The sequence below is a fragment of the Homo sapiens genome, chromosome 1 (genome assembly GCF_000001405.40).
Source record: "Homo sapiens chromosome 1, GRCh38.p14 Primary Assembly".
NCBI lineage: Eukaryota > Metazoa > Chordata > Mammalia > Primates > Hominidae > Homo > Homo sapiens.
In genome coordinates this window covers 186,980,763-186,995,342 of record NC_000001.11, presented here as the reverse complement: position 1 = coordinate 186,995,342, position 14,580 = coordinate 186,980,763, and the positions used below count along the sequence as shown (strand labels likewise).

General features: G+C 36.6%; 1 protein-coding gene across 4 annotated transcripts in view, besides 1 other annotated feature; it reads right to left on the bottom strand.

Moving 5' to 3' along the window:
- The window catches only part of PLA2G4A (phospholipase A2 group IVA), a 160,033-nt gene continuing 151,814 nt past the window's right edge, over positions 6,362 to 14,580 (bottom strand). For all 4 annotated transcript variants that reach the window (XM_011509642.3, NM_024420.3, NM_001311193.2 and 1 more), the window contains one exon: positions 6,362 to 6,966. In XM_011509642.3, coding sequence (XP_011507944.1) covers positions 6,835 to 6,966 — 132 coding nt within the window. In that variant the 3' untranslated portion in view covers positions 6,362 to 6,834. The remainder of the gene's footprint in view (positions 6,967 to 14,580) is intronic.
- Positions 9,956 to 10,457: an enhancer, noted in NCBI's record as "NANOG hESC enhancer chr1:186954018-186954519 (GRCh37/hg19 assembly coordinates)". NCBI's record gives its function as "activates a minimal SCP1, AML or CMV promoter by ChIP-STARR-seq in naive H9 embryonic stem cells {active_cell/tissue: H9 hESC(naive)}" and the evidence as "EXISTENCE:reporter gene assay evidence [ECO:0000049][PMID:30033119]".

The window sequence follows — 14,580 nt, the reverse complement described above, 5'->3', positions numbered from 1 at the left end:
TATGCTTTAGTGTTTAGTATAGCATTTTGCTGCAAGTAGATCAATGCAAATGCTAATAACTAAACCAGGAACTAATTGAATGAGAACTTAGCTGATGAAAGTCAGAAACCAGGACTGGGATGGGTTTGTGATTTCCTCTGAAAGTATCAATGCTGTCACTGTATAGAGACACAGTGGTTAGAGCACACTTAGAGCTAAGGGTCATGCTTAACTCTGCAGAGGGAAGCTTGAAACTTCACTGAAGAAATAATATTTCAACTAGATCTAGCAGAACAAACCAGAAGAGAAAAATTGCACAAAGGAATTGTGAAAGGGCACAATGCAATGAATGATCAGAGCATGATGAGAGGCGTAGCTGAAGTTTAGGGTGAGTGAGGAAGTGATGAAAGGAAATCAGACTAAAAGTAGACTAGGCAATGGATGTGAAGGGCCTTGTAAGCCATGGTATGTTTAAACATACTATATGTTAGCCATGGTATGTTCATAGTGTTTTCCATATGTAGTCATATTTGCCATCGTGTTTGTATTCACTCAGTTTAGAGTAAGAGGAAATTAGCTCACACTAAAACACTGGGGAAAAGGGATTATTATTAAAAACTGCTTTGTTTGCAGCAGGCAAAATATTCAAGAGGTTCAGACAATAATTTACATAATGAGTTTTAGCACAGCAATAATTGAATCTTCCCTAAAATATTTCCCTCTCCAACTAGTTATCCAATTTAAAATATCACCATAGGTTTATTATCATATATTAGCAAAAATCCTCATCTAAAATAGAAACAGTGCCACAGCTTATATACTCTGAGTAATAAAGTACCATGGAACCATCTAAACTGGCCCCTACTACTCACCAATAAATGAATCCCCCGAACTCATCTTCTGTGAATATGTGAATAACCACAGTGATAAAAATTTATTTGCATCACGGATTTTATTTCATTTTTAAACAATCTAGTTGGTAGAAACCTCTTCCTTATTTGGACTCACGCAGTGCCTTATTCCTCTTCCACTAGAAACCTAGTCATGATTTTCTATTTCTGCCAATTCCAATCAATTGGTATGACTGACGTGGGGCACATGGCTGAGCAGGAATCTAAAACTACATCCAGATTCATCAATGAAAAATAAATGATTCAGTGGCTGTATTTGCCAGGAATTCTGGAAGGGAGAGTGGCAACTTGCGTGATATGTTTTTCATTCCAAGCTGAGACTATTTGAAGACAACTATAATAGCTCTACCATCTGTGCTGTGAAATGGTTCCCATATAAATGCCTAATACAAAGCATAATCTTAATAAAAGTTTTTTGAGTGGATTTAAGACATTGTTGCTAGCCCTCTAGGAGTCATTTTTTTCTTGGACATTCTAGACAATGCCTACCTTAAAATTTTAATGTTCTACATCTTCTTTCCGTCTTTACTATTGGTGTATTGAATTCTAGTACAGGGTTCTCCATTTGTTCCTGTTAAATTTCATCTGGTTAGAGTTAGCTTGTTTCAACATATATTTTTAAATTACTTTCCAAAATATTTTGAGGTTTTAAGAGTTCTTGAATATAATGTATGCCAGTGGATGGATGCCAAACAAATCCTAAAGTAATATTAAAATGCATTGAAGAATATAGAATCCACAACAAGGAGGTAATAAGCTCACTCCAGGAGAGAAATCACCTGCCTCCTAAATCCTATTTGAATTTCTACTTATCTTTTAATACTCAGCCTAAAAGCTAATTCTCCATGAAAACTTCCCATAATTACCCCAGTTGTAATGACTCAGTTTGTAAACTCTTTGAAAGAAGAATCAAGTCTCATGTATTTTGGTATCTATCTTAGGTCAGGTTCTATAGAAAAAGACTGAGATAAAGGTTCTCATGTAATACGTTGAAGGAGTGTGCGATGATGAACCTGATGAGGAGTGAAGAAAGATAAAAGAGGGAGAAAACCTCAGTAAAGAAATGGGTTTAGTTGAAGTCTTATCTCAGCCTGATCCCAGGGAAAACTCTTGAGCATGAAAAACATCACAGAATTATCCTTATTTATAATAAATACACATTACAGGCATTCAGAGCTCTTTGTAACCCCTCATCAGTTAGTCACTGGTTGCAGCTTTCCTCAGGAGGAAGGCAAAACCAACCATATCTCATCAGCTGAGAACAATTCTCAGAATAAGAATGCAGCTGTAGACTTTTAGCAGCCAATACTCACAGCAGCTTGGAGATGAGTGTCTGACCAGGAAAAGGGGATCTGGACAGAACAACAGCAGTACCTGCTACAGTTTCTCTCCAGAATCAAGTGTGGCATCTTACATGTATAAGACACAATAGATGCTTACTGATCTGTAGTGTTTAGAGAATTCAACCAAAATGCAACTCTTCTATTCGCCACATTTTTATTATTGGCTATTCCTTGTTTCGCTCTTATGCTTATACAGCGAAAGGTGGCGTTAATTAATTGGATTTTTAATTTGGTAGTACAGTAATAGAAGAAATATAAAAATCACTAGGATGTCACAAAACTCTAACCCTTAAACTATTTGGTGAAAGCAGCTCTGTGGAATTTTTAGCTTGTGATTTATTTTCTTTATTTGTTTTTATTAAATATATAAATAGTAGGATTTACATTGATCAGCTGTAGAAAAAAGAGTTAAAAGAGTATGGATATGAAATGGGAGCCACTGATGTAAACTCCTTTAATTTGTTCAGAGAATCCTCCAACTGAAATTCTGTTGCTAATTTTAAGTAATTTTTAACAGTATGAAACACTGTGGAGCTTACAGAAAAGTTGCAAATGTGATAGGAGAGATGTTTTTCTTCTCTGAGCCATTTAGGAATAAGTTACTAACATGAAGTTCCATCACCCTGAATAGTTTAATGTGTGCTTACTACAGATAAGGATAATCTGCTACCTATCCACAATATAAGCATCACATCAGGATATTAGCATTGATACATTACTATGACCAACTCTTCAGAGCCCATTCATATTTCACCAGTTGTTCTGCTGGCATCTTTTATCTGTCAGTGGAACAGTTGGTGAAACATGAATGGAAGAATTCAGGTCAGAATCCCATGTTGCTTTCAGTTGTCATGCTTCTTTAGTCTTCTTCAGTCTGGAACAGTTCTGTCTTTCCTTGACTTGCCTAATCTTTACAATTTTGAAGATGACAGATGGCTATACTTGACATTTCTTGCAATTTGAGTTTGCCTGTCACTTCTTCGTGATTAGATTCAGGTGCTGCATCTATGGCAGGATTATCACAGAAGCAATGCTACATTCTCTTTGCATTCTACCAAGTGGGGCAATTTCGGTTTGCCTCACTTTTGAGAACACCAGTTTTGATTACTTAGTCTGCCAGGTTTCTCTACTACAAAGTTACTTTTTTCCCTTTGTAATTAAGTATTTTATAAGAGGAAGTATTTTGAGATTATGTAAATATCTGGTTCCTTATTAATCTATTTATCTATTTACATCAAATGAGGTCATTGTTTCCTATATTATTCAATGGATCATAATCTGTTGCCAACATTATTTATTTGAATGTTTAATTTTTTCCAAAAAGAGCCAGTAGGTGTCCCTTCAAGCTGGCTTATGTGTCTTTTTGACATGTCCTTATCATTCTTTGAGCACTTCTGTACTGTGGCAAAATAAAATGGTCTAGCATCATTTTATACTTGTTCTGTCCGACCTAGAATCAGCCACTTCCTTGAGGATCCTAGGTTTCTGTTGTTATATGATGGGATTTGAAAGCCAACTGCTGTGTCCAGCTGTGCTCATTGCTATTGGGAGTATCACCGCTCCCAGATCCTCTCAGTGACAGACGTACAGAATCTCTACACACACCCACTTTCATGTCTGTTTATTCTATATATCTCTACTTATACTAAAACCCGTGAATTCATACTAATACCTCCTACTTCAACTTAACACCACACAACCTTCTGTTTTTCTTCATTTTCATATTTGTAACTCCATTCCAGTGAGAAAACTGGCACTCATTATATTTATTATATTTCATATATTTAATTACTTCATTGGTTCCCCCATGTGTAAGCAAGCTGCACTGTCTGTGCCACACCTTCCTCTGCATGGATGCCCTCCCATCTCAGGTTTTGGTGTCTGACTTTGATTCCCCATTGATTCCCATGGCTTTGGGATTAAATTGTTTAAGGAGGTAAAGAGAAGGGGAAAGGAAAAAGAAAGAGGAACTACTGTTGAAACTTTTATAAAGTGTTTTCCATGTTAGAACAAAGGTATTCATGAAAAGTTTAAAATTGTATACTTCAGAAGAAATGAAATTAGATATATACATACACACACCAAGCTTTTATTTTGTTGCTTTCATTGCTTATCAAAAAACAAAAAAAACCCTGAAATTGCACAGCTTGTTCATGGATGAGGTAAAGTAGCAGCCCTGTCATGGCGTGAACAATGAACAAACTAGAACACTTGTGCTTGCGTGAAAAAGGCAAAGAGCCAAGCCGAAATTACTAGGGCACGTTGATCATTTTGGGGAAGACTAAGGGGACATCTCACTTGTCAGTCATTCTTTGGAACAAAGAAATAATAAAAAAAAAATGTACAGATTTAACTGGCCACCCAATGTGTGTTTTTATAAAATCAGAATTCTAGTAAATTCATAAATGAAAAAATGGCAAAGCTGAATTAGATGAAAAGCCTCTGTTATTGTAGTTAAGAAACTAAAAGCATGTGAACAAAGGGAAAGCAAGTGTCCTAGTTGGTCCCAGCTTTATAATGACTGTCACTGAAGTGTTCATCTAATTTGTTTCTAGAGGGCACCATAGATGGTGATATACAGGCCATAGGGTCAACAGCATAGGGACCTGGTTCAGAATTTAGTCATCTTGGACATATTTCTTAACCTCTCTGGTCTTGTTTCTTTACAGAGGTATTTGGAAGGATAAATCAAATGCAAACAATATTGCCAAAGTTTGAACAAATAAGAGAAAATTAATTGTACACCTCCCACTCTGCCTTAGGCACGTTGGTCCCTTCTCTGTTTCCGGAATATGCTTGGTGCTCTACCTCAGGGAACTTTGATTTGTTATTTCCTCTGCCCGCAGTGCTTCTCCGTTGGATAGCCTCAGGTCTTGCTCCCTCAGCTCTTCACCTCTTTGCTGCGATGTCACCTTCATATTATGGCCTTCTCTAGGACCCCCTGTAAAATTACACACCTCTAACACATCCCATCTCCTCTTTTTCCTGCTTTTTCTTCTTAGCACTTATCACTCTCTAACATTCAACATATGTCTGTGTCATGTTTATCATCTTTGGTCATCTCCACCAGAATGCAAGGTCCTTAGGCAGGCACTTCGGTCCGTTTTTTCTACTTTTGTGCCCCTAGATCCTGGGATCCTGCAACATGCTTGACAGCATGCAGTAGGCACTCATTTGCCATAGGCATAAATCAATGAACAATAGAATGAACGTTCAAGGCTTCCTTTTATTGTTTTTTGTCTTTCCTCATAGGCAGAAAAGTGAAAGGTGAGAGGATAAAAAGAAAAATGAATAAAGAGCTTAAAGAAAGATAATTCAAGGAAAGAAGAATGGCAGACAGTTAAGAAGAGGAAGACCTGAGCTTTGGAACATTCTGAACCATAACAGTTCAGCTGCAACTGCAGCCACAGTTGTGTCATACAGTGTTCCCAAGACAAATCTTGCAGATGCAAGAGGTAGGCCACTTATTAAGCTTGATTCAGCCCTTACCACTTTTTTGGATTATTCTCTGAGGTCAACTACACTGGTTGTTGGATAAGCAGTCCAGGATAATATTAGCCAAGGGAAATGTTACATTAGAAGTGGTTACACATATATTTTCTACTTAATGAATAAACATATACCATTTTCTGAAAAAATTATATATTCATCTTTCAGAAAAAAAACCTATGATTTAAAATTAAAAGTTTCAGCCAGGCGCGGTGGCTCACACCTGTAATCCCAGCGCTTTGGGAGGCTGGGGCGGGCAGATCAAGAGGTCAGGAGTTTGAGACCAGCCTGGCCAACATAGTGAAACCCCGTCTGTACTAAAAATCTAAAAATTGGCTGGGTGTGGTGGCGGGCACCTGTAGTCCCAGCTACTCGGGAGGCTGAGGCAGGGGAATCGCTTGAACCTGGGAGGCGGAGCTTGTGGTGAGCCAAGATCACACCACTGCACTCCAGCCTAGGTGACAGAGTGAGACTCTGTCTCACAAAAAAATTAATTAATTAATTAAATTAAATTAAAAGTTTCACACTTGAGTTTAGGATGAACAACTTTTGCGTTTGAAAGCAGTGAATATGAGAATCTTTCATAGCAATAGTCCAATATCTCATTAAAAATTAACAAAAAACTCAGTTATCTCATGCTTATTTTTATATTGATGTATTTATTTCATGTATGTATATATATGCATATATAAATAAAAATAGTGTTGTCTCATGGTATGAATAAATCTAGTCAGTGAATAACATTCATACATAATGCGAGGTCTTATTGAGATTGAACTGTTAAATATTTTAAAAGAAAAAAAATTTTTAAAAAGAACACACATAAGAAAGTTGGTGAGAAATGTTTAAAAATACAGTATATATCCCTACATTTGTATCAGGAAGTTCATACTGACTGAAAATGTAGCTAAGTATATCCTTACATAATCAACATCATTTGTCAACCTAACTTATAATAGTATTATTCTCATGCAGCTAAGTAACTGCAACTTTGAGTATCAGCCAGTCTCTCATGATCAGTACGACTATCTGTACTGTACTTTTAAATCCAGTTGTCATGGGATTGCAAACTGCCTCAGCATCAGAAACTGCTGCCATTTCCAGTACATGAACTATGCTTTGGGTTTACTTAGAAACTCCTTGTTGAAAAATCTTCTTGCCTCAACATTACTAAGGGAAACAGAGCAACGAGATGGATTCTGTCTTCTATATTCAATGCTTTCAACCATGGCTTCTTTTATCACCTGCAAATAGAGACAGAAGTTGTATAATTAGCGCTGCTATGAACTCATTTATATATTTTTTATTAAAATAAAAATCAAATGAATCTTTTTATTAGAGTATTCCTTTTGACATATATGAATAGAAATCTACGAGTCATGCATACACATTTAAATTCAACATCCCACCACTGCACTCTTGTTAAGCTTATATTCAGCTACTGTTCCTTCCCTCACCAGGGAAAGAAGGATTCTGGAAATGTTCTAGATTTTATGCTGATAAATTTGGGAATAAAGTGGTAGCATGGTAAAATTATGTTGGTTCTGCTCTTTGCCAAAAGGGGGATAACAGGGAAGAAACAAGTAATTACTAAATCTATAATTTATGTTCTTTATAATTAGTGGGCAAGTAGAAAAAGACCACCAGGAAAGTAAAAGCTTTTCCTAGTGGAGGAAGAAGGCATTGCTGGAGAATTGCCTTCCTTCCTCAACTGAAACAATACAGTTATAAAACATGAGCCTCCTCTATCTAGGAAACATCATGCTCTGTGATTTCATTGGTGAAAATGAATTACTACTTTTTATTCAGCATACATATATCCAATATATATTCTTTACATATACCCATGTTAATGGTAACCAGAAGAAAACACAGGAAACTACAACCTCTAAGAACTGCTATTTCAACTGTCATACACTGGTTTTGGTATGAAGTTAACCTAGTTAGAATTTGGGGAAAGAAGAGAACATTCAGAATTTGGTAGATGCAGTTATTGAAGAGCAGTGGAAATGGGCTTTGGAAGAAGGCCTGAATAGTAAATCTTGTCTCTGCTTCTGCTTCAGAACCTTGTTAAAATCAGGAAGACTCCATTTCCCAGGACAGTCCTCATTTCATCTCGATGACCAATGAGATAGATGTTTCTGGGCATCAGGAAACCGAGGCAAGTCACAGAGTTATTCCACAATTCCTTTTATTCTCTACCTCAGGGATTGTTAAGCAACATTAAGGTACAGTCCACGGGCTTTTCAGCCCCTTGCCACAGGTAGGAATACTTGGCAAGTCTGATCAGTTTAGGACGCTATGGCCTCCTCTCACTCACAACTGCTGTGGCCCACTTGGCCTTGGAGATGCATGCTCAGAGGGATTCTCCCATTACCACGTGCAAGCTCACTGGGCAAGCATGGCTCATTGCCTGAAGGAGATCATGTTTGCACCACTTAAACATGTGAGATCTAAATGGTGCAAACATGCAATTATTTTTCTGTGACTTTATGTCCCAGACACCCAACAAGCAAGGCTCTCTATTCTCTAATAGTAACTTTAAAAACGCAGTCAGATTTTGGAAAAAGGGAGCTATCACAGGAATGTGGTTCTTTTATATGCCTTATTTTAAAACGTAATATATGTAATTATCTTCTCGGGAAATGGGCTCAAACGTGAATGAGTCCGTTAAGGTAAAGCTGATATTTGCTGATCCCACTTTTCTTAAGAATAGGGAAACATAATTCTGTGATGACAAAAGATGCTTCAGATCTATGAAGGAGACTTGGACCAAAGGCTACCAGGCACAAACACTTCTTGGCTGTGTGAGATGGAGGGCAATTAGTGTCAATACTTGAGCCCATTTCTTCTTCTTTAAAATGGAAATAATGTACTAATTTGGGGTTTTGTGGGGATTGGAGATCATTTCTATAAAGTGCTTGGCACAATACCTGGTACATAAACATTCTACAACAGCTGTTACGCTTGTTATTTTTAAACTGACAATATGTGATGAAAATTGGGAACTCTAAATTAGAAGTGAAGCTATAAAGTTTATAAGAAATAAACACACCAGGTGTGTAGCCAAGAATGAGCTTATTATATTGTGTAAGTCAGCAAATCGTTTCTGCTATTCAAAGTATCCTACTACATCTTCTTTTAAAAATCTCCCTGCCTTTCTAGAGATCTATATCAGCAAATTTATCAATTGGTTTCTCCTTCTCACAGAAATCCATGAAACATCAACCCTCATTGCATAAAAGTGTCCAAATAAAATAAAAACCAACTATTTGCTTTCTAAACACCTAAAAAGCTTTAAAATAAAAAAGACCATACAAAAAATTAAACTGACAATGATTGCTGCTATCAATTCCCTCATAATGAATTCTTGAGCATAAAAAAAATCAGCAATATCAACATCAGGAACTAGTGGATTTATCGTAATTGGACCTCAGCTGGTGTTCCTAGTGAGCAAGCCATTCTGATAAAGGAAAATGAACACTTCCAACTCTGAAAACCCCAAGTTAGAATGTGCAAGTTGATCCACTAGGTGGCATATTAACACCATGAAACCATTAACCAGGTTTTTCACATTACTGCGGAAAATACCCTGTTCTTGGGAGTTACAGTTCTGTGATAGAAAAAATCAAGCCCAGTATTAGATCAGTTACTAAATTCAAACCTTTTGGCATCCTACATGATACAACTACATATATTCAAAAAGGCATTATGTTAAATTTAAACCTTTCTTTTCATTATTATACAAGAAGTCATCTTAAATGGTGTTTGTATCTCTTTCATTCTTCCCTGAAATTCATTGGGATTCCAAATCCTTCCCTTCAGTGTTATCCCAGCAAAAGCCCTCATATCTCAACCTTCTCCAGCCTCACCACCTATCCCATGTCATCTTTCACTTGTGCCATTCAGTAGCCTCCTATTGTTGAACCAGATCTCTTAAATCTTTGCTAATGAAAGCAGAGAATAAGAAAAACAAGCATGTAAAATGTGATCCCCCTTCCACATAAGAAACAAATTTGTAGAGGTGAGATTATAAGCAATCTACAAACAAATATTGAGTTATCACAACAGAAAATAAAAAATAAGCCCAAGAGAGAAAGTTAAGTATATTTTGTTAGAGAAGTAAAAATTACAAATATAGGAGAACATGAGAAGATATTTAGGTGTAAAATTACTGTGAATTTGCTGGATAATGCCTGCCTTTTCAATAAAAACTGAAATGTCAGGAAGGCAGAAAGTTCATCAGGCTTGCATTTTTTTTTATCCGAGCGCTTAGAACATGGAAGGTACATAATAAATATTTGCAAAATTAATAAATACACAGAAGGTGCTCACTAGAGGTTGATTGACACAGGGCAGCATTCAGTTCAGAGGAACAGTGAGACCAGTTGAGTTAAAGGACAGGCAGGGTTTTTAAGTGGAGCAGAAGACTGGGCATTCTCTGTAGAAGAATAACCATATGAAAAGACTGAGGATGGGAGGCTGTGGCATTCGTCAGAGACATCTGGGAATTCATTCTGGCCTGGCTAGAATGAAGGCTGTGTTTGGGGAACACTAAGAAATAAGGCTGCTTGAGAGACAGGTGGTTCAAAAGTAAGGAATGAAGGAGAAAAGACATGCAGCCTCATCTCAGCTCCCCCACATCATCGTGACTTCCAGTAACCTGCCTAAGTAATCCATGACTCCATTTCCTAACTTATAAATTAAAACCCCACCTCATAGGCTAGTCTTGAGTGTTAAATATTTGGGGGAAAATATTTGGCTTATATGAAGCACTCAAAACTTTTAATTCTTCTTTCCATGCTGTACCCCTAGTTTCTAAAACAGTTTCTGGCACACTAAACAATAAATATGTATTGAATTAATAAATAAATGAGACCAGAAAGAGATCATAGGCAGCATTAAAAATAGATGAGTTATGGACTAATATATTAGGCAATAATACATAATAGTAAGCTTATAAATTATTTTTAAAAGATAGAACTTTTACTTGTACCTACACACCCTTATCAAGATGAAGAAATATCAATGAATTAATGAATTAAGAAATGAGTACCAGTATTTCTGGATATGGATGTATCCTCATTTTAATTAACATTTAATGTTTAGCACTTTGTAGAATTATTTAAGAAAGAAAAAAGCTCATTACTTTGCATCATTGGCATATGCTGAATAATGTGACACATAACTGGTTCTAAGACTATGCCTATCAAATTAATAATTTGAATAAGTGAGACTGGGAAACCATATATTTTCCTGTGATAGCAAATTAACAGGTCCTAGAAAAGAAATCTCAGAAGACATATTCCCTCCAGATCGAAGTGATGGTTTAAGAGTAGATAGAGTATGCAGCCATACTACGTGGGCAGGCATGTACTATATACAAATTCCCCATGGTTGGGAACTCTGCCTCCATCCCACCAAGAGCACCTTGTATCCTGACACTTGCTACCCACAGTAAGTCAATGAAATTTTAAACACCCATCATGAAAATTGTACTGCATATTTACTTTAGGTGTCAGGCATTGTGATCAGTATGTCTACAGAATACAAGGTAAATAAAGCAAGTCACTGTTCTTAAGGGGTTTATAATTAAAAGCCAAAAACTATGAACACTAATAATTATATTAGCTGCTTCAATTTACTGTCTATTTCATGCCAAGCCCTTAAGTTATATTATTCTACTTAATCCCCATCCTGATCCTACATGATATATACCATCGTTTCCCTTTACAAAATAGGAAAGCAAAATTTAGAAAGGTTAACCAATATGCCCAATGTCACCCAGCCAAGAGGCCGCAGAGCAAGGATTTGAATACCCAATTTGGTCAGACTCCAATGCCTCTGCATCCCACCCCCGCCCCGCCGCCATCACATGTCTACCAGTGTAAGTCACTATACGTTAAGTTTTTGAAGGAAAAAAAATTGAAATACTACTGTAATTGTACAAGCATTGAGACAATGTTCAGTGAAAAGGAATTTGGGAGAATTGAGTAAGAGCAGAAACCTGATGCTATGAGAAACCCAGGCCGCTGTCATGACGTGAGCAGAAACAGAGCAGAAGTCCTCTAAAGATAAACTGAAATTTAGCTTTGGCAAAGCAGGCAAGCTAGAATCTCTTGATAAAATGAAGCAATAGGAGGGTGCAGCTGGCTGACACAGCATGGCCTCTTCAGAGCAAAAATTGAGGTCAGAGTGAATTGAAGAGGAAACGTTGCCCTAAGCCACAGTGGTCACAGTTGCAAAGTTGAAAACTGTTGTCTATGTAATTGGCAGAGAGGTAACTTTGCATTGTAAGAGTTTATATTCACAATGTCCATCCACCGTTTACAAAGAACTCTGATGGTCTACAGCAGTAAACATATGCTGTGTTGCCGAAGTGTGAATCGGTACCCTACTCTATTCAAATGGTGTGGGAATGAGAGAGTTAGCTAATTCAGCAGAGTTTTGTTGCTCTTTAAGTACCATCATTTACAAAATTGTGATTCTGATAAAAATGTGTTTTCTTTTCTTTTCTTTTCTTTTTTTTTTTTTTTTGAGACAGACTCTTGCTCTGTCACCCAGGCTGAAGTGCAATGGTGCGATCTTGGCTCACTGCAAGCTCCACCTCCCTGGTTCACACCATTCTCCTGCCTCAGCCTCCCTAGTAGCTGGGACTACAGGCACCTGCCACCACGCCCAGCTAATTTTGCTTTTTTGTATTTTTAGTAGAGACGGGGTTTCACCGTGTTAGCCGGGATGGTCTTGATCTCCTGACCTGGTGATCTGCCCGCCTCAGCCTCCCAAAGTGCTGGGATTATAGGCGTGAACCACGGCGCCCGGCCCCAAAAATGTGTTTTCTTAAAGTGGAGAAGAAGGGAGTCACTAAGGCAAGATAAAATGTCAGTGAAAACTGAAAATTTTATCTGTTTATGAAACACACACACACACACACACGCACACACACACAAAGAGGAGTTACTTGAACATGAGTCTCAATGTTCATATAATTCAGGAAAAAGCCTACCTTCATTTGTTCATTCAGAAAATATATACTGACTGCCTAAGCTGGCATTACCTGTACAAACTTGTCTATGTTGTTAACCTGAGGCATTTGCAAAGGTCTTTGGGTGTAATCCCCATGGACCTTCAGGGGTACAAGATAAGGACATGTATAGGTAAGGTTCTCATTTATTGAGCAGCTTCTGTAATCATGCATCACCCAATTAAACATTCACTACTACAATTATTATAGATCCTACCACACCTGTTTCAGAGACGAGGAAGTGGAGGCTCAAAAAGTTTAAGCAGCTTATTCAAAGTCACATGTAAGAGATTTAAAGATGATATAACGCCCATGACCTTGTCTGTACATGCTGTGCCAGAAACTGTAGCAGAAGCAATTAAAAACTGCTTAATTCTCAGAACTAAAGGACTTGGAGATACAGGAAAGATTGCCCTTTATGGCTAATGCTTTTAGCGTCAAGTTTAAAGAATATTTCCCAGGGTCAAAGTCATAAAGATACTCCCCTGTGTTGTATTCTAGAAGCTTTGTTTACTTTTATACTCAGATCTACAGTCTATCTGATATTGGCTTTGTTGATAATGTGAAAGAGGTACATTTAATTTTTTCCTTTGTGAATAATCATCTGATCACTTTTTTTATTACAGATAGTCACAATTTATTCAAGGACGATTTTATTTAGTGCTACTGTCTGTCCTTGGACAATGTCATGTTTTCTTAATGTTATCTTGCTGTCTTTCTATTTGGTAAAGTAAGTCTTCTAACTTCGCTTTCTTTCTTCAAGATGAGTTAGCCTACTTTGGTCCTTTTCACTTTCATATTATTTTTTAATGAATTTATCAATCTTCTTATAAAAACCTGATGGTATTGTTACTAAAAATGCAGGGGAAATGGGGACTTACTAGTTAATGGTTACAGAGTTTTAGTTTGGGAGGATGTAAAATGTTCTGGAGATAGATGGTGGGGTTGGTTGCACGATAATGCAATGTACTTAATGCCACTAAACTGTACACTTAAAAATGGTTAAAATGATAAATTTTATATTTTGTATATTTTATAACAATAAAAAGTGAAAACATATTTTTAAAACTGCTAAATTAATGGTTTCTGAAGAATCAACATTTGATGAGGTGTATAGGTCGGGACAGTTGTTCTGGGATTCAGTCTATTTTTGTTCAGGCACTAACTTTTACATCTATGTGTCAAACAAACTACTTTGAAGAATGTTTGTAAAATATATAAATAAAACTGTATCATTCCTTATTGCAAATTGTTTAGCAGACTTTATATAAACTAGAACAGCAAGACAAATGTATTTGGTTAAGATACACATATGTATATCTACTCCCAAGTCCAACATGGTATTTGTATATTCCTACAATCTGTTTTTTCCATTTGAGAAAGACTTATCAAATTTAATACAATTCATCCCAAGGAATGTGTAGTTTTGAGTTTATTGGCTCATACTGGAAAACTAGGGTGACTGTGATATTAATTCTTACCTCTGTTTTAGTAGCATGAGGTTTTATAAAATGCAACTAACTCTATTTTGAGAATTTATGTTCACTCCCTACAAATCAGAGATTAATCATTTTTTCTCTTAACCTTTCAATTTTTGCCATCACCATAGAGATAATGTATCACGTGGATTTCAGATGTCCACTGCTTGAAATATTTTTTCTAAAAAGGAAACAAATCTATGGAGAAAATGACATATGCTATATATTTTGATAAGCATTTTTAGATGAATTATCATCTATTTGTAAATGAAGGCTGAAAAAAAGAATTTTAGAGTTGTAAGAATCAAGGCTTATTGGGGAAAATTTTACACATTTACAAAAATTAAAGATATTAA